This window comes from Homo sapiens, chromosome 17 (assembly GCF_000001405.40).
Source record: "Homo sapiens chromosome 17, GRCh38.p14 Primary Assembly".
NCBI classification, from domain to species: Eukaryota; Metazoa; Chordata; class Mammalia; order Primates; family Hominidae; genus Homo; species Homo sapiens.
The window spans coordinates 82334268-82351911 of NC_000017.11; the positions used below are offsets into that span (position 1 = coordinate 82334268).

At 54.9% G+C, this 17644-nt stretch overlaps 6 annotated features.

The window, feature by feature from the left end:
• Positions 853-922: an enhancer, noted in NCBI's record as "active region_13004". NCBI's record gives its function as "activates an Ori minimal core promoter by ATAC-STARR-seq in GM12878 lymphoblastoid cells {active_cell/tissue: GM12878}" and the evidence as "EXISTENCE:reporter gene assay evidence [ECO:0000049][PMID:35858748]".
• Positions 10463-10998: an enhancer, noted in NCBI's record as "H3K4me1 hESC enhancer chr17:80302606-80303141 (GRCh37/hg19 assembly coordinates)". NCBI's record gives its function as "activates a minimal SCP1, AML or CMV promoter by ChIP-STARR-seq in naive H9 embryonic stem cells {active_cell/tissue: H9 hESC(naive)}" and the evidence as "EXISTENCE:reporter gene assay evidence [ECO:0000049][PMID:30033119]".
• Positions 16230-16349: an enhancer, noted in NCBI's record as "active region_13005". NCBI's record gives its function as "activates an Ori minimal core promoter by ATAC-STARR-seq in GM12878 lymphoblastoid cells {active_cell/tissue: GM12878}" and the evidence as "EXISTENCE:reporter gene assay evidence [ECO:0000049][PMID:35858748]".
• Positions 17028-17247: an enhancer, noted in NCBI's record as "active region_13006". NCBI's record gives its function as "activates an Ori minimal core promoter by ATAC-STARR-seq in GM12878 lymphoblastoid cells {active_cell/tissue: GM12878}" and the evidence as "EXISTENCE:reporter gene assay evidence [ECO:0000049][PMID:35858748]".
• Positions 17028-17297: a biological region, named in NCBI's record as "ReSE screen-validated silencer GRCh37_chr17:80309262-80309440".
• Positions 17119-17297: a silencer, noted in NCBI's record as "fragment chr17:80309262-80309440 (GRCh37/hg19 assembly coordinates)". NCBI's record gives its function as "represses an EF-1alpha promoter that drives an FKBP-Casp9 reporter gene in an ReSE screen in HepG2 liver carcinoma cells {active_cell/tissue: HepG2}" and the evidence as "EXISTENCE:reporter gene assay evidence [ECO:0000049][PMID:32094911]".

Genomic DNA, 17644 nt, shown 5'->3' on the forward strand with positions numbered 1-17644 from the left:
CCTTCAGGCGTCCTGCGGCCCCTGCGGAGGTGCTGGCCTGGCCAGCCCGGGAGGAGGGGCCCAGCCTGTTGGGGCAGGAGATTGGGGTGCGGGTAGAAGGCTCCAAGACGCATCCGGGCCGGGAACCCACAGACATCCCAGGTGGGCAGGAGGTGGCTCGAGGAGGCCTGGAGGACCCGGCGCCTGGCGGGGTGGCAGGCGGGCCACGTCCTCCACTAGAACCCGAGGGGGCACGCGGGCAGGTGCGGGCGGGGTCAAGGATGACCAGGTATCTTCGGGACACTAGGAGGAGGCCCCACAGGCTGCAGTCACGTGAGTGGGCAAGTCCCCACCGGGCAGATGATGGGGGACACTGGGGCGTGGGCAATGCCCCCAGTTTCATGGAAGAGAGGAAGAAGCAGAACCAAACTCCGGGAAACCCTCAAATGTGGGGAATGGACGGAGCAGGGCCAGACTGGACGCTGAACCTTGGAGCCTGCAGCTCAGCCATCAGACCCAGGGTCCAGAGGTGGGTGGCACAGAACAAAGTCCCCCGGGATGTTCCAAAAGAGAAACTGTCGCCAAATTGGCAGGTGAAACACAGCCTGTCATCCTCCCAGCAAGACGGCACCATGGCCGGGGCACAGAGGTCAGATTCCCCAGCCCCCGCCCTCGGGGAAACCCCAGCCACCCTGGCTGCCAGTGAGATGCTGGAGAGGGGGCTGAAATCCCACCTGCCCACGTCCTCTGCACAGAGGGGCTTGTCCCCGAGGCCACATCCCCCAGCAGCCACAGCTTCCTTCTCCTTTTTTCCTGCCTACTAGATCTCTCAACTCAGAGGGGGCTGCAGTTCCTGGGGGCAGGGGGGTCCGGCTGCTTAGGCAGGAGCACCTGCACCGTGAGGCTCTGGAGGGCAGCTGAAGGCTGGCAGGCTTTTGTCCCGTGAGGGGACACCACTGGGGGTTGGAGGAAAACGCATATCCTGATAAAGCATTTCATGTTGTGAAAGTGAAACTAGTTTGTTTATTTTGGAAGTAATACAGGCACAGAAACAAAATAGAATGAAACCAACTGTTGCCTTTTCCTCCCCACCCTGGCTTCAATTCCCAGGTTGAGTTATGGACACTGCCTTACCTATCCTTCTAGAAGTTTTCCTGGTCCATACAAACAGCACAGCCATCCACTCACGTTTATTTCTTTCTTTTTTTTGAGACGGAGTCTCTGTTGCCCAGGCTGGAGTGCAGTGCTGCAGTCTCGATCACTGCAACCTCTGCCTCCCAGGTTCAACTGATTCTCCCACCTCAGCCTTCTGAGTAGTTGGGATTGCAGGCATGTATCACCACGCCCAGCTAATTTTTGTAGTTTTAGTAGAAATAGGATTTCATCATGTTGGCCAAGCTGGTCTCGAACTCCTGACCTCAGGTGGTCCGCCTGCCTTGGCCTCCCAAAGTGCTGGGGTTACAGGTGTGAGCCACCACATCTGGGCAGTATCTTTCCATTTCTTTTTTTTGTTTTGAGACGGAGTCTCGCTCTGTCGCCCAGGCTGGAGTGCAGTGGCGCAATCTCGGCTCACTGCAAGCTCTGCCTCCTGGGTTCACACCATTCTCCTGCCTCAGCCTCCTGAGTAGCTGGGACTACAGGCGCCCGCCACCACGCCCAGCTAATTTTTCTGTATTTTTAGTAGAGACGGGGTTTCACCGTGTTAGCCAGGATGGTCTGGATCTCCTGACCTTGTGATCCGCCCATCTTGGCCTCCCAAAGTGCTGGATTACAGGCGTGAGCCACTGCACCCGGCCGTATCTTTCCATTTCTATACAATGCTGGGATCAGGCATCTTAGAGCGGATGTGTGGATTCATTCACCCTCAGCCTGTCCTTGAATCACAGCCTCTGCTGTGCCAGGTGACATGTGGAGTTTCATTTCCTTTCTGTTCGAGGAATTTGTAGATTTCAGTTATGATTTTCTGTTTAACTCTCCAAATTATTCGGCAGCATATTCTTAAAATCCCCAAGGTCCTGGAGCATTTGCTTTTCTTTTTTTTGGAGACAGAGTCTTGCTCTGTCGCCCAGGCTGGAGTGCAGTGGTGCGATTTCGGCTCACTGCAACCTCCGCCTCCCTAGTTCAAGCGATTCTCCTACCTCAGCCTCCTGAGTAGCTGGAACTACAGGCACGTGCCGCCACGCCCAGCTTTTATTTATTTATTTATTTTATTTTTGGTAGAGACGGGTTTCACTATGTTAGCCAGGCTTTTTTTTTCTTGAACTCCTGAGCTCAGGCAATCCACCCGCCTCGGCCTCCCAAAGTGCTGGGATTACAGGCGTGAGCCACTGTGCTGGCGGCATTTGCTTTTCTTTGTAACTTGATTCTCTGGGTTCCCTTGCCTTTCATCCTTGCCCACCCACGTGACTGCAGCCTGTGGGGCTTCCTCCTAATGTCCCGAAGATAACTCGTCATCCTTGACCCCGCCGCCACCTCGGGTTCTAGTGGAGGATGTGGCCCGCCTGCCACCCCCACAGGCACCGGGTCCTCCAGGCCTCCTTGACCCACTTCCAACCCACCTGGGATGTCTGCGCGTTACCAGCCCAGATGCCTCTTGGAGCCTTCCACCTGCACCCCATCTCCTGTCCCAACAGGCTGGGCCCCTCCTCCCGGGCTGGCCAAGCCAGTACCTCCGCAGGGGCCGCAGGTGCAGCACCCTCTGTGGGGGAGCTAGGGGGATCGCTCCTCTGCTCTGCGCACTTTTATGAAAGGGCCTCTGACCCTCCCACTGTCCTGCTCACTCTGCCCGCGCACCCCCGGCCACCTGGGGGCCGCCCCCCAAAGCCCTCGGCCCGTGGACAGACTCGCAGCCTCCTGGGAGCCGAGCCAACCGGCCCCACAGATTTGTGCATGACTCAGTTGTACCCACTGCTCACTGGCTGGAAGGGTCTCACGGGTCCTTCCAACATGTAATATTCTCTGACTGTTGGGAGCAAGGGTCTCTGCAGGTGTCCCTCCTGTCAAGGTGTCAGTGGGGTAGGTTAGGTCTTTTATATACTTGTCAATTTTTTTTTTTTAAGACGGAGTCTCGCTCTGTCGCCCAGGCTGGAGTGCAGTGGCACGATCTCAGCTCACTGCAAGCTCCGCCTCTCGGGTTCACGCCATTCTCCTGCCTCAGCCTCCCCAGCAGCTGGGACTACAGGCGCCCGCCACCACGCCCAGCTAATTTTTTGTATTTTTATATACTTGTCAATTTGTATGGGCTTGAGCTATCAGTAATTAAGAGAGATAGGTTGGAATGGCCTCCTATGGTGGGGGCTTAGCAGCCTCTTCTTGTGGTTCTAGGAATTTTTAATCATATATTTGGAGGCTTTTTTTTTTTAAGAGATGGGGTCTCCTGTAGTTGACCAGGCTGGCTTGCAGTGGCTGTTCACTGGCAGGATCGTAGCTCAATGTACCCTGACCTTCTGGGCTCAAGCGATCCTCCAGCCTCAGCTTTCTGAGTAGCTGGCACCACAGGCAGGCACCACAGATAAAAAGTCTAAAATGTTTGCTTCAGTCTTTGTCGTTTTGTTGCTCTTGTTCTTGTCTTGTGCTAACCTAATTCTAATTTATCTATTTTATAATATTCGGAAGTTTTAAAATATGAGGCTAATTTTAAATTCTTACCCAGCATGTGTTTCTGCTTTTGGTGGAATCCACAACCCAGCTTGTTATTTTCCACCTGAAAAGGCTGTGCTCCTCGAACATCCAGTTATGTTGCCCTGAGCCCCTTCACTTGCCAATCTTCTTGGTATTTCTTTTGGGATTTCACTGTCTTTATAGCTTCACTTTATTTTAATTCTATTTATTTATTTATTTGGGGGGGATGGAGTCTCACTATGTTGCCCAGGCTGGAGTGCAATGGCACGATCTCACCTCACGCAACCTCCACCACCCGGGTTCAAGTAATTCTCCTGCCTCAATCTCCCTAGTAGCTGAGATTAGAGGCGTGCACCTGGCTAATTTTTGTATTTTTAGTAGAGACGGGGTTTTGCCGTGTTGGCCAGGCTGGTCTCTAACTCCTGACCTCATAATCTACCCACCTTGGCCTCCCAAAGTGCTGGGATTACAGGCGTGAGCCACCGTGCCCAGCTGTTATAGCTTAATTTTAGAAAGAATGGCATTTTTAGGGCTGGGTGCGATGGCTCATGCCTGTAATCCTAGCACTCTGGGAGGCTGAAGTGAGACAATCTCTTGAGGCCAGGAATTTGAGACCAGCTTGGACAACACAGTGAGACCCATCTTCACAAAAATAAAATAATGAGCCGGGCGTGGTGGCCAGTGCCTGTAGCCCCAGCTACTTGGGAGGCTGAGGTAGGAGGATCTCTTGAGCCTGGGAGGTCGAGGCTGCATTGAACCGAGATCAGGCCACTGCACTGTAGCCTGAGCAACAGAGCGAGACCCTGCCTCAAAGAGAGAGAGAGAGAGAGAGAAAGAGAGAAAGAGAAAATACTTTTAATAGTAATCCTTCCTAGCCAATGAGATAGGAATGCTGGGTGGTCATAGGAGAAATGAGAAATATCAAACAGTAATCTTGCAGAAAAGCAAGAAAGCAGCTGTTAGAATGAGCCACAGAAAGCAACTGTTAGAATGAGCCACGGAAAGCAGCTGTTAGAATGAGCCATGGAAAGCAGCTGTTAGAATGAGCCACGGAAAGCAGCTGTTAGAATGAGCCACAAAGGCAGGGATGAGCCCGGACTGATGAGACCCTCGACCCCACAAGCAGGAGAGGCTACGTTGGAGGAGGCTGGCCGGATCCACCGTGGCACTAGGCTTGACCTGTGCCCACCCCAGACCTAATTGCACACTGACTGCCATTCACAATCACGTACACACCAGCGTCACGGCAGATCCAACCATGCCCATATTTAGTATAAAAATATCTGGCACCCCAATTCTAAGAAATCGTCACCTTTTTCCTAGAAAATCTAATGATTATTCCACCCTCTAACTAGGAAAGCCCATAAAATAGAAACTCAGGCCTCGTTGTGTGTGACTCACTCTCGGAGCACGCCCGTGCCTCTCCTGTGCGCAGGCATTCACTTCACAATAAAAGCTTCTTGCCTTTTGTCTCATTCCTACTCATCCCGAATTCTTCCTCATGATGGTGTCAAGAACCTGGACACCGGCTGGCACTGGGGCTGGCATCTCGCCGGCATCTGCAGACCCTTCTCAGTCCTCCGGCCACAGAGCTGCTGCTTTCCGTCTGACTTAAGCGTCATGGCCGTGCCTGTCCCGGCCAGGAATCCTGTCAATGGCCGTGCCCAGCCCTGCTTGCTCTGCGGAGCCCTGGACTCAGGGGAGCCTCCAATGTGCCCCCAGGACGGTGCTCCGTGCAGGAGGAGTGGTCTGACCACATTCTACTCTCTCCCCTTGGCTGCCTGCCCCTTGATTCCTGGAATTCCCAGAGAATCAGGACGCTGTTCCCGGGAAGACTCTAACCACCAGCAAATGCCCAGGTCCGAGGGTGCCCAAGGTCGCAGGTCCTGGATCTGAAGCTTCCTGGAGATGCCTCCTCCAGCCTCATGGGGAGAGGAGGGAGGGTTCCCAAAGACACCCAAGAGTGAGGATCTGGTTCTGGGCTGCTGGAGAGGAGACGCCTCTGGGAGACCCCCCCAGAGTCCCTGTGCCCCCAAAAGCCCTGCCCCCAACCCCTCCCCCAGTGCTTCTCTGTGCCCTCTCACCAGTGCCTCCCCCAGTGTCCTCTCCCCCCAGTGCCCTCCCCCAGTGCCCTCCCCTGGTATCCTCTCCCCCGTGCCCTCCCCCAGTGCCCTCTACCTTGCCCTCCCCCAAGTGCCCTCCCCTGGTGTCCTCTCCCCCTCTGCCCTCCCCCAGTACCCTCCCCCATGCCCTCCCCCAATGCCCTCTCCCCCAGTGCCCTCCCCCCAGTGCCTTCTTCCCCTGTGCCCTCCCCCCATGTCCTTCCCCCACACCCTCTTCCCCTGTGTCCTCCCTCTGTGCCCTCTTCCCCTGTGCCCTCCCCAGTGCCCTCCCCTGTGTTCTTCCCCAGTGCCCTCTTCCCCATGCCCTCCCCCTGTGCCCTCCCCCCAGTGCCTTCTTCCCCTGTGCCCTCCCCCCATGTCCTTCCCCCACACCCTCTTCCCGTGTCCTCCCTCTGTGCCTCTTCCCCTGTACCCTCCCCCAGTGCCCTCCCCAGCTTCCTCACACCCAGTTCCCCCATGCTGAGAGGCTGTCAGTGATGGAGGTTTGGGGTGGCATTAGACCACCTCCCAGGAAGGGCGAGGAAGCATTTCTGTAACATCAGAATGCGGCAGCAGAACTTCCCTGAGGAGCCGCTGCCCAGAAGAGCTTCCCCCTGACGGTCTTTCTAGGATGAGATTGTCCCGCACCTGCCTCCCCATCTCCTGTCTCGGTTAAATCCCTCTCCGAGGGCATGGGAATGATAGTTGTCTTTGTTCAGCGTATCCGAGATTTTTTTTTTTTTTTTTTGAGACAGAGTCTGGCTCTGTCACCCAGGCTGGAGTGCAGTGGCGTGATCTCGGCTCACTGCAACCTCCACTTCCTGGGTTCACACCATTCTCTTGCCTCAGCCTCCCGAGTCGCTGGAACTACAGGCGCCCGCCACCACGCCCGGCTAATTTTTTGTATTTTTAGTAGAGACGGGGTTTCACCGTGTTAGCCAGGATGGTCTCAATCTCCTGACCTTGTGATCTGCCCGCCTCGGCTTCCCAAAGTGCTGGGATTACAGGCATGAGCCACCACGCCTGGCCAAGAAAAATGGATTCTTATTGCACTGATGCAACCAACTGTATCACCATAAGAGTACTCACAAATAGTTTCCAAATTCTAGAGGAACCAGGGAGAGAAACAAACATGCTCCAAATTTTGTTCACAGGAGAGTACCTTGCTCAATTATTAAAGGCCGTGAACAGTTCAAGTTTCTTTGACTCTGAAAAACAAAACAAGGATCAGCAATATTCTAAAAGGTGCTTTCTGAGGGCCGTCCATTTAGTTCACTTTTTTTTTTGAGATGGAGTCTCGCTCTGTCCCCCAGGCTGGAGTGCAGTGGTGTGACCTCAGCTCACTGCAAGCTCCACCTCCTGGGTTCACACCATTCTCCAGCCTCAGCTTCCTCAGCCTGTAGCTGGGACTACAGGCGCCCGTCACCATGCCCGGCTAATTTTTTGTATTTTCAGTACAGATGGGGTTTCACCGTGTTAGCCAGGATGGTCTCAATCTCCTGACCTCATGATCCACCCACCTTGGCCTCCCAAAGTGCTGGGATTAAAGGCGTGAGCCACCACGCCTGGCCTAGTTAACTCTTGTTTTGCTTGAGATTCATGAACATTTCAGTTCTTTGTGAGTCCTGTATGTTTTTCCTCTATTCAAAAAAAAAAAAAAAAAAAAAGGGCCAGACATGGTGGCTCACACCTGTAATCCCAGCACTTTGGGAGGCTCAGGTGGGCAGATCACTTGAAATCAAGAGTTTGAGACCAGCCTGGCCAACATGGTAAAACACCATCTCTACTAAAAATACAAAAATTAGCCAGGCGTGGTGGTGCACACCTGTAATCCCAGCTACTTGGGAGGCTGAGGCAGGAGAATCACTTGAACCCAGGAGGCTGCAGTGAGCTGTGACTGTGCCACTGCACTCCAGCCTGGGCAACAGGGCGAGACTCTGTCTCAAAAACGTTCCAGGGCCTAATCTTGAGATAGACAGACCAACCCTGGAAACTCAGCGGCAAAATTCCAGAGGTTTCCCCCAGGCAGCAAGTCAGCCACCCAGCCGTTGATCAGATGACCCCAGCCTGCGCTCCAAGTGTACTGGGACCCAAGATAGCCACTGAGGACAGACACACAGACCTTGTACCCAGCACGGCGCCGGCACGCCTCCCACGCCAGCTTCCCCGTGACAAGCCCCTGCCTTCTCCCTAGGAATTTGAAGTGGTTGCTTTGGACGGGAATGCGGCCCCTTGCCCATGACTAGTTTCGGATAATAAAGTCACTTTCTTTCAACCAGGCCTCCCTCTTGATTACTGGACTCTGCAAGTGGTGAGGAACGGAACTTGCGTTCGGTTACAATTTTGGTGGCCCGTGTGGGGAACGTTGTGTGCTTTGGGGGGCCCAAGCCTGCCCATCTGGTTTCTGTTGGGCAGGGCGTAGGTTCACCTGTGAGTTCCAGCTGCTCCTGGCTGCTGCGCCTGTGGCTGGAATGGGAGGAGCTGCCCCGTGGCCGCCGAGATGCTTTCGTCCGGGAATCCTGTCCTTCTCTTCCTGCTGCCTTCAACGCTTTGCTGGTGCAAAGGAAGTGACCTTTGGAGAAGTTAATAAACTTTGGAACTGGGTGCCTTAGTTGGAGTTCACCCAGGGACCCTCTGCCTCTTTGGGGTGTGGCTGAGGCCCTCCTCTGTTTAGACTTGGCTGTGAGTGACACCAGTTGGGCATTTGATACATTTGAATTCGTTTGTGTTTGTGGCACCCTAGGGCCTCTGCTCAGTGCGGGTTCAGTCGCCCGAGGGGCCGTTTGAAACCGAGCCCCTTAAAGGAGGTTTTTTGGACGCAGCTGTTGGTTTGTGCGCATGAGTGTGTGCACCCTGACCTCTCTCTCCTTCCTCCAACGTCCTCCTCCCGTCCGCCACCAAAGCGTTATTCCTCTTGGTCAAAAGCACCCTTAGCTCCCTGTGGCTGCGAACAGCTGACCTTGACAGGTGATCTGCGGAGGTGGGAGGGATTCATCCCACACCGCGCAGGTCTGGGGTGCGGAGGCTTTCCCTGATGGGAGATGATCAAGGGTGAGGGGGTGCTGGCCCCGCACCACGCAGTGGCTGGAGGCTCGCCAGCCTCCCTCCTTCCTTTCTTGTTTCTCCTCCCTGCTGCAAACCTTTCTCCTCCGCTTTCCTTTCTTTTCTATTTTCCTGTTCAATCCAGGGGCCCAGCCCAAAAAGGGAAAAACAGTTTCCAACATCCCGGCCCCTGATTTTGTCGTCCTCTTAGGGACTCCAGCTGGTTACATATTACAGCCCATTGTGCATGTTTTAAGCTGACGGGCAAATGACAGCGAGGAAAATTCAGACCTCCAGTGGTGAACCTGTGCTGTGGTTAAGCAGTGTTCTAAGGTGCTCTCTGGTCCTCTCTTTTCTTTCTTGCTTTAAACCTGCTGTTACTAAGCTGCTGGTGCGAAGACTCGTTATTTACGGTCTAACTAGAATGTAAACGTTGGAAACTCATTTGAAACTAAAGAGAAAGAGGGTAAAACAATTTTTTTTGTTTCGTTTTGTCTTGTTTTATAAAACCAAACTGCCACAGAGATTGCTTTACCCAAATTTTGGTTCAAGTTCTCTCCTTGGATGACCTATCAGGCGACAAGGGTTAGCCAGGTAAGCAGGTTCCAGTCTGTCAGAACAGCCACCTGCAGCCAGCTGGCTCCTATAGGCCCATGAGTTTGTGACACTTTACCATTGCCATGCCAACACCCAGATGTTACTGCCCCTTTCCATGGCAATGACCCAGAAGTACCACCCCTTTTCTAGGAAATTCTGAATGCCCCACCTCTTAATTTGCATGTAGTTAAAAGTGGGTATAAATGTGACGGCTGCCCTGCCCTGAGCTGCTGCTCTCCGCACACTTCTCCGGGGCAGCCCTGCTCTGTATCATGGAGCTGTGACATGCCACCGCCTTAGTGAAGCTGCTTTCAAGGGAGAAGAAAAGGAAAAATTAGTTGGGCAGACAGCTAAAGCTGGTCTTTGGTAAAATTCTTTTTTTTTTTTTTTTTTTTTTGAGACGGAGTCTCACTCTGTCACCCAGGCTGGAGTGTAGTGGTGTGATCTCAGCTCACTGTAACCTCCACCTCCTAGGTTCAAGCGATTCTCCTGCCTCAGCCTCTTGAGTAGCTGGGATTACAGGCACCCACCACCATGCCCAGCTAAATTTTGTATTTTTAGTGGAGACAGGGAGGCAGGGGGGGCGGGGGTGGGTCTTGCCATGTTGGCCAGGCTGGTCTCGAACTCCTGACCTTAGGTGATCCTCCCGCCCTGGCCTCCGACAGTGCTGAGATTACAGGCGTGAGCCATGGCACCTGGCCTTAAATTGTTTTTAACCACAGCTAATACGGTACACCTTTCAGAGACGGAGCACTCCACATCACAGGTGGCAAGAGTCTTGATTCTTCCTCAGCCCCAGGTGGCTCTTCCTTTATTGTGCTCCTGTGGATCCTTCAGACTATGTAGCTAAAAGCAAAGAAAAACACGTATTCTATCTGCCCCTCCCCTTTGACACAGAAGGAGGCACGACCATCACGGCGTCCTGAGCTCAGCCTGGCCCACACCAGGCCCTCCTGGAGACCCTCCTGGTGGGTGCGGGGTGGCCTCCCAGGCATGGCTGCTGTGTTGGGTGGGGGGTGACTAAGTCAACAGCCCCGTGTGTGTGTGCGTAGGCTGATTCTGGCCTTCGGCAGTCACAGTCCCACAGACACCATGGTGCCTGTGTCGGCTCCGTGCCTGTGTCAGCTCACCGTGCCTGTGTCAGCTCCGTGCCTGTGTCAGCTCATGGCGCCTGTGTCGGCTCCGTGCCTCCAGCGGTGTTTGTCTTTAGGGCAAATACCCACTCCGCCCTGGGCTGCCACATCTCACAATGGGGAAGTGGGGAAGGGGGGTTTGCAGGGGTGGTTGCAGGGTGAGGGTGTGTCTGGCTGCACAGATTTACACGCCCGTGGGCTGGGTGGGAGTGCGGTAGGCCAGGTCTCACTAACGTGGGCCTCCATGACCAGTTTCAGTACTGAGGGAGTTAAAAGCCAGTGCCCTTATACAAAGGCTGGAATGTAACAGAAGCATACCAAGAGTTTTGCCTAGCCCTTTCCTGGGCCTTAAAGCATGAAAAAATAACAAAGGAATTCTTAATAGGACCCATTTAGGATAAAACAAATTTTATCGCGGGTCTGAAGGAACTCCTCAGGCCTCCACAAACAAGCTTATTGGGGGCCCGAAGGAACTTCTCCAACCTCCGTGACTTAGCAGGAGACAGGATAAGGGTAATGACCCAGCACCTGGACCCATCTAGATTAAACTTACTGAGGCTCCAGAGGAAGGTCTTCAGGACTCAGACCTCAGTTACAGATTAGAAGTTAGTCACTTAGTCTTCAGATGAATGCACACTTACACGTAGACGTAGCGTGTGGAAGGTAGATAAGCTCTGGAGGACTGTAATTTTGAGTTGGTCTGGAGATAATGTCCAGGCCTTCTCCCTGTAACCGGTTGGGGAAATAAACACGTGCTTCCTCCCCAGTTCAGCTGCGTCTCGTTATGGGGCCCGACCCTCAGTTTGGTCCGGGAACGGGGGCTGCCTCTCGTCCGAGGACCTGCTGCTACTCCTGGTCGTGGCTGCAGCTCTGTCCGCCTTTCTGTCCGGCTTTCCATCCGGGGTGCCAGCTCGCCGCTGTCCCCACATCTGGCTCCCGTGTTCCCGGCTGTCACGCAGGGTCACGTCGTCCCCAAAGTTCTGCTAACACGAATGAAGTCTCGTTGGTGTGACATCAAACAGCTACGAAGGCCGTTTCTGTGACCCGGAGGCCACACGCCGAGTCTCCGGGACGAAGCCTCGCTTGGCAGAGCCGCCGGGGCCTGGTCTCTGTGTTCTGTGCCACAGATGCCACACGACTGTTTCCCACTCCCTGTGTTTACGTGGGACCCAAAGATAACTGTTTTCCCGAAATTAATATAATTCCTAAGATAATTTTTCATGAAATTGGAAAAACTGGTTCTAAAATTCATACGAAGGCCGGTGTGGTGGCTCCCGCCTGTAAATCCCAGCACTGTGGGAGGCCGAGGCGGGCGGATCACGAGGTCAGGAGATCAAGACCATCCTGGCTAACACGGTGAAACCCCGTCTCCACTAAAAAAATACAAAAAATTAGCCAGGTGTGGTGACGGGCGCCTGTAGTCCCAGCTACTCAGGTAACTGAGGCAGGAGACTGGCGTGAACCCGGGAGGCGGAGCTTGCAGTGAGCCGAGATCGCGCCACTGCACTCCAGCCTGGGCGACAGAGCAAGACTCTGTCTCAAGAAAAAAAATAAAAATAAAAAATAAAATTCGTACGAAAGAGCAAAGAGGGCCGGGCGTGGCAGCTCACGCCTGTAACCCCAGCACTTTGTGTCACGTGCGTCCATGTGAAGAGACACCAACAGGCTTTGTGTGAGCAACAAGGCTGTTTATTCACTTGGGTGCAAGTGGGCTGAGTCCGAAAAGAGTCAGCAAAGAGAGGTAGGGGTGGGGCCGTTTTATAGGACTGGGGTAAACAGTGGAAAGTTACAGTGAAAGGTGGTTACCTATTGTCAGCAGAGGAGGGGGTCACAAGGTACATGGTGGGGAGATCATAAGACTCATTGTCCGGAAGAAGAATGTCACGAGGTCGATCGATCAGGTGGGACAGGGCAGGAACAGGTCATCATGGAATGTCGTAAGGTTGGTCAATCAGTTAAGACAGGAGCTGGCTGTTTCATTCTTTTGTAGATTTGGGTTGCCCCAGACTTCTTGGCTCTTGCAGGCCATCTGGACATACATGTGCAGGTCACAGGGGTTACAATGGCTGAGCTTCGGCTCAGAGGCCTGACACACCTGACACAAGGGAGCGTGTGTCTGAGGGCGCAGCAGCCAAGGAGCGGCTTCCCCTCCCCAGGAGGGCTCCGAGGGGGAAGTCAGGAAGCTGTTTCTTGCACACGCGAGTGTGAAGCTGCAAACTGCTCAGCGGCAGGTTCGGGTTTAAAAACTCAAAACTTAAAAAAATTAGCTAGCCGCCACAGTGTGGGGGGAAGAACCACTCTGCTTTTAAATACAAGAGATGGCACAAGATTTCGGGATAGTGCCCATGTGGGCGACCCCGACCCGGTCCCCGCCCTGCTTGTGCCAAGGATCCTCAGGCACCCGGGGCTTCCTGTTTATACAGCAGAACGCCCTCTCTCTGGAGACAGAGAGACAGAAGGGTCCCAGCCTGAACACCCCCCTCTGGAGACAGAGAGACTGAGGGGGTCCCAGCCTGAACGCCCCCTCTCTGGAGACAGACTGAGGGGGTCCCAGCCTGAACGCCCCCTCTCTGGAGACAGACTGAGGGGGTCCCAGCCTGAACGCCCCCTCTCTGGAGACAGAGAGACAGAGGGGTCCCAGCCTGAACGCCCCCTCTCTGGAGACAGACTGAGGGGGTCCCAGCCTGAACGCCCCCCTCTGGAGACAGGCTGAGGGGGTCCCAGCCTGAACGCCCCCTCTCTGGAGACAGAGAGACTGAGGGGGTCCCAGCCTGAACGCCCCCTCTCTGGAGACAGAGAGACTGAGGGGTCCCAGCCTGAACGCCCCCTCTCTGGAGACAGACTGAGGGGGTCCCAGCCTGAACGCCCCCTCTCTGGAGACAGACTGAGGGGGTCCCAGCCTGAACGCCCCCTCTCTGGAGACAGAGAGACAGAGGGGTCCCAGCCTGAACGCCCCCCTCTGGAGACAGGCTGAGGGGGTCCCAGCCTGAACGCCCCCTCTCTGGAGACAGAGAGACTGAGGGGGTCCCAGCCTGAACGCCCCCTCTCTGGAGACAGAGAGACTGAGGGGGTCCCAGCCTGAACGCCCCCTCTCTGGAGACAGAGAGACAGAGGGGTCCCAGCCTGAACGCCCCCCTCTGGAGACAGGCTGAGGGGGTCCCAGCCTGAACGCCCCCTCTCTGGAGACAGACTGAGGGGGTCCCAGCCTGAACGCCCCCTCTCTGGAGACAGAGAGACTGAGGGGTCCCAGCCTGAACGCCCCCCTCTGGAGACAGAGAGACTGAGGGGGTCCCAGCCTGAACGCCCTCTCTCCGGGCTCTTCCACCAGAGCTAAGACCTTCTGATTTTCTTGTCTTGTCTTTTGAGACAGGGTTTTGCTCTTGTCACCCAGGCTGGAGTGCAATGGTGCGTTCTTGGCTCACTGCAACCTCCGCCTCCCAGGCTCAAGTGATTCTCCTGACTCAGCCTCCTGAGTAGCTGGGATTACAGGTGCCTGCCACCACGCCCGCCTAATTTTTGTATTTTAGTAGGGACGAGGTTTCACCGTGTTGGCCAGGCTGATCTTGAACTCTTGACCTCAGGTGATCCCCACACCTCGGCCTCCCAAAGTTCTGGGATTACAGGCGTGAGCCACTGCACCCAGCCAATGCCTTCTGGTTTTTCTGATTTTTCTGATCTCTCATTTTCCTTTCTAGAAGGGAGGCCTCTTGTCATCCTATCTCTACCCGCAGAAAATAGGATTTGAGTTTCTATTTGAGTGCTGGGACCAGCGTTGGAGGGAGGGAAGACATCAGAGCCAGAGCCCCTCCAAGACTGCCCCCCAGGGCCTGGGGCTGCAGGGGGCTGGCCCTGCTGGGAAGGAGAGGCTGCCAGGTGGGGTCCTGGGCCAAGGTCCCAGCATAAACACCCACGAAACCCCCTGGGCTGGCCGGCTGCCACCCTGCCCTGCTCCTCGCCTCATAGCTTTCCACGAGACCCCCTGGGCTGGCCGGCTGCCACCCTGCCCTGCTCGCCTCATAGCTTTCCTTCACCTCTCTCTCCTTCACAAACTCACCCAGCCCCACGTCTGACACACATTTCTAAATCTATCTTCCTTGTCAATAATTCAACCAACGCTTTTATTTGTCAAAGAGAAACCTGCCATAGTGGGAATTTACAGCCACAGTCCCCACGACGTAAATGTTTCCCTCTCACATTTGGAAACCTGCTGTGTTGGAATTGAATAGTAAATAGGAGAATTATAATAAATGAAATAAGCCAGCCGTCCCTGAAATACGATTGCTCCTCAGGACTTGAGGCTGATCTGAGCCAATTCTTCCACTGATCTCTACGCAGAGCCTCGGGAACTCCTAGAGGAGCATAAGTTCCAAACTGGAGACGCACATGCAGGGGCATAGAAGCCTCACTCTGAACAACTAAACAAAAGCATCTGATTTTAGAATTTAAAAATGTCTGTGGGGGGTGCCTCAGTTCCCCCCGTGACCCCAGCTCTGGTAGGGTCACTGCCACCCGCGCGTGCATGTCCTGGGATCCTGACCTCTCCTTCAAACCCACCAGAGCGATGCCAGGTGACTCTGGGGAGGCTCACCTGCTCAGGTGAGTAGAATCAACCCTGTCGGCCACTGGAGCCACTGGGGTAGCCGGGGCCGTGGAGCTCTGCACAGCCCGGGGGAGGCCGATGTTCAGAACAAAGCTTTTATCATGGAAAAGTACAAACATAAACACAAAGGTGGAGACTGGGACAGTAATCTGTTCACTCACTGCCTTCTCCTGACCTCTTCCACTTCCTCGTCTTTCCCGGCCCCCTCCCAGCCAGAAGGGTGGGAAAGCGCTGGTTTTAATTAGCGATTTCTTGACTGCCTCCCCCTCATTCCTGAGCCTCTCCCAGTTTCCTGACGGTAGAAAACACTCTGGCTTTGATTTGTAAGCAGATGTGTAGATAGTTTTCTTAGAAAGTTTCCCAATTGTAAAATGATTGCAACTTGGTTAACGCCGTCTGAGACACAACAGTTCTGTTTCCCCAAACCCTCGCTTTAAAGGAGTTTTTACTTCATTTATCACGTATGCTACTGAGAGAACGAACGGTGTTGAGGTCGCCTTCGGGTTTCCTGGGTTTTCTGGAGCTGTGGAATCGAGTCCCAAGTGTCCCGAGAGGCAGACGTCTGGAGTCCAGAGCTGTGAGCGGCAGCAGACCCTGCAGCTTCAGTGAGGGCCGCACACAGGGCATCTGCGCAAGACACGTCACCCTTCACATGGCCCCATGGCCACAGGGACAGCGTGTCACTTTCCCAGGTTATTTGGTATTTTTAAAAGCTCAAATGTTAAAGAGTCGGCTTTTTAGGTTGTGCCAGAATGACTCTGGGGTCAAACTATTTCTTTTTTTTCTTTTTATTTTTTTTGAGACAGAGTCTCACTCTTCACCCAGGCTGGAGTGCAGTGGTGTGATCTCAGCTCACTGCAACCTCTGCCTCCCATGCTCAAGCTATTTTCCTGCCTCAGCCTCCAGAGTAGCTGGGATTACAGGCGTGCACCACCACGCCCAGCTGATTTTTATATTTTTAGTAGAGATGGGGTTTCACCATGTTGGCCAGGCTGGTCTTGAACTCCTGGCCTCAGGTGATCCGCCTGCCTTGGCCTCCATAAGTGCTGGGATTCCAGGCGTGCGCCACCGCCCCCTGCCGAAACTATTTCAATGTGACACCAGCATCATGTGTGGCATCTGCAGGCCTCTCTCGGGTTCCCCTCTGCACGGAGCCTGTGGTTTTCAGGGCGAGATGCCCGGCTGGCCCCGGGGCCTGAACCAGCTGCAACGGAAGGCTCTGTGGGATGAGGGCAACCTTTGGCCTGGGGTGCAGGGGCCCCGGACTCTGATGCTGCACCTCGACTTTACCCAGGTCCCAGGGCCTGCACAGGCTGAGCCCCCCACTAGCATGACTGCTCCTGGAGCTGTTTGTTACAGAGACTTGCCGCCTGACTCAGGGCCCCACTGTGGCAATGTCACCTGCCACACCAGCAGAGGTGTCTGTGGGGGTTGATGCTGACAGACACTGGTCTGTTCTTGGGGGAGGATCTGATTTGTCACAAAAAGAGGTCAAGTAGGCTGACAGTTCTTGCCGATGGCCCAGGTGTCGGGATTACGTGTCAGTCCTGGCTGCGCTGCCGGCTTCTCTGCGCCTCCCTGGGTGATGCCCATCTCACCGGGGTGGCGGCAGGTGCACCATCGTGGGGCCGGCACACCCGGCACCTCGGAGGCCTCTGTCCCAGCCACTGGGCCTGTCCAGGAGGGCTGGACGGGCCACCACCTCGGCCCACCCTCGAGGCTTCTCCAGGGCTCGATCCAGGCTGGGCTTCAGACATGGAGTTGCTGGCAGCCCGAGAATGTTACAATTGTTGAGCTTCTTATTTCCAGGTAACTCAAGTTCATTTTAGAAGCTGTGGAAAACACAGGCAAGCAGAGAACATGAATGACCTGCCCCCTGTTATCTACCCCAAACCTGACCTCAGTCAGCATCTGCTTCTAGGTCCTCTCGCTTTGTAGCTCCTGCCTTTGGGGCCAGCTGCTTCACACCCCAAGTCCTTCTATTATTAACTGACTCTTCCTGTTTACTTCAATCCAGCAGATGTGTGTAGAGCAGCAACCACGCCGGGCTGGGACCCCGCGGCCGAGGCGTCTGCTGGAAGGAGTCTCTGAGGTCACCAACCACGCCGGGCTGGGGCCCTGCGACCGAGGCATCTGCGGGAAGGAGTCTCTGAGGTCACTCCTGCCCACAGGTGCACGTCTGTGCACCCGCCCACTCCTGCATACACACGAACACACCTGTGCATGTATACACCGCACCCCACACACCCCTGCACACTCGTGAGGGCATGCTCTCACACACAAACATGCACTCGCAATAGGCCTCCAGGGCTGGGGCCGGCCGTGGAGCTGGACCGAGGGAGGGAGCTTGCTGGGGTGGCCCAGGTATAGCCCCTGGCCCGGCCTCAGCCCACCCGGCAGACTCTCAGCTGAAGGAGGACGCGGGTTGCCGTCGGGATGCCGTGTGCAACATCCCAACTCCACAGATCAGAAGATGGAGGCAGAGCCGATTGGAGGAGGAGGGTCGGGAGGCCTCAGGAATTGCTAAAGGGCCAGCCATGGTTCTCAGTTCTTCCCAGCAACCAGTCCAG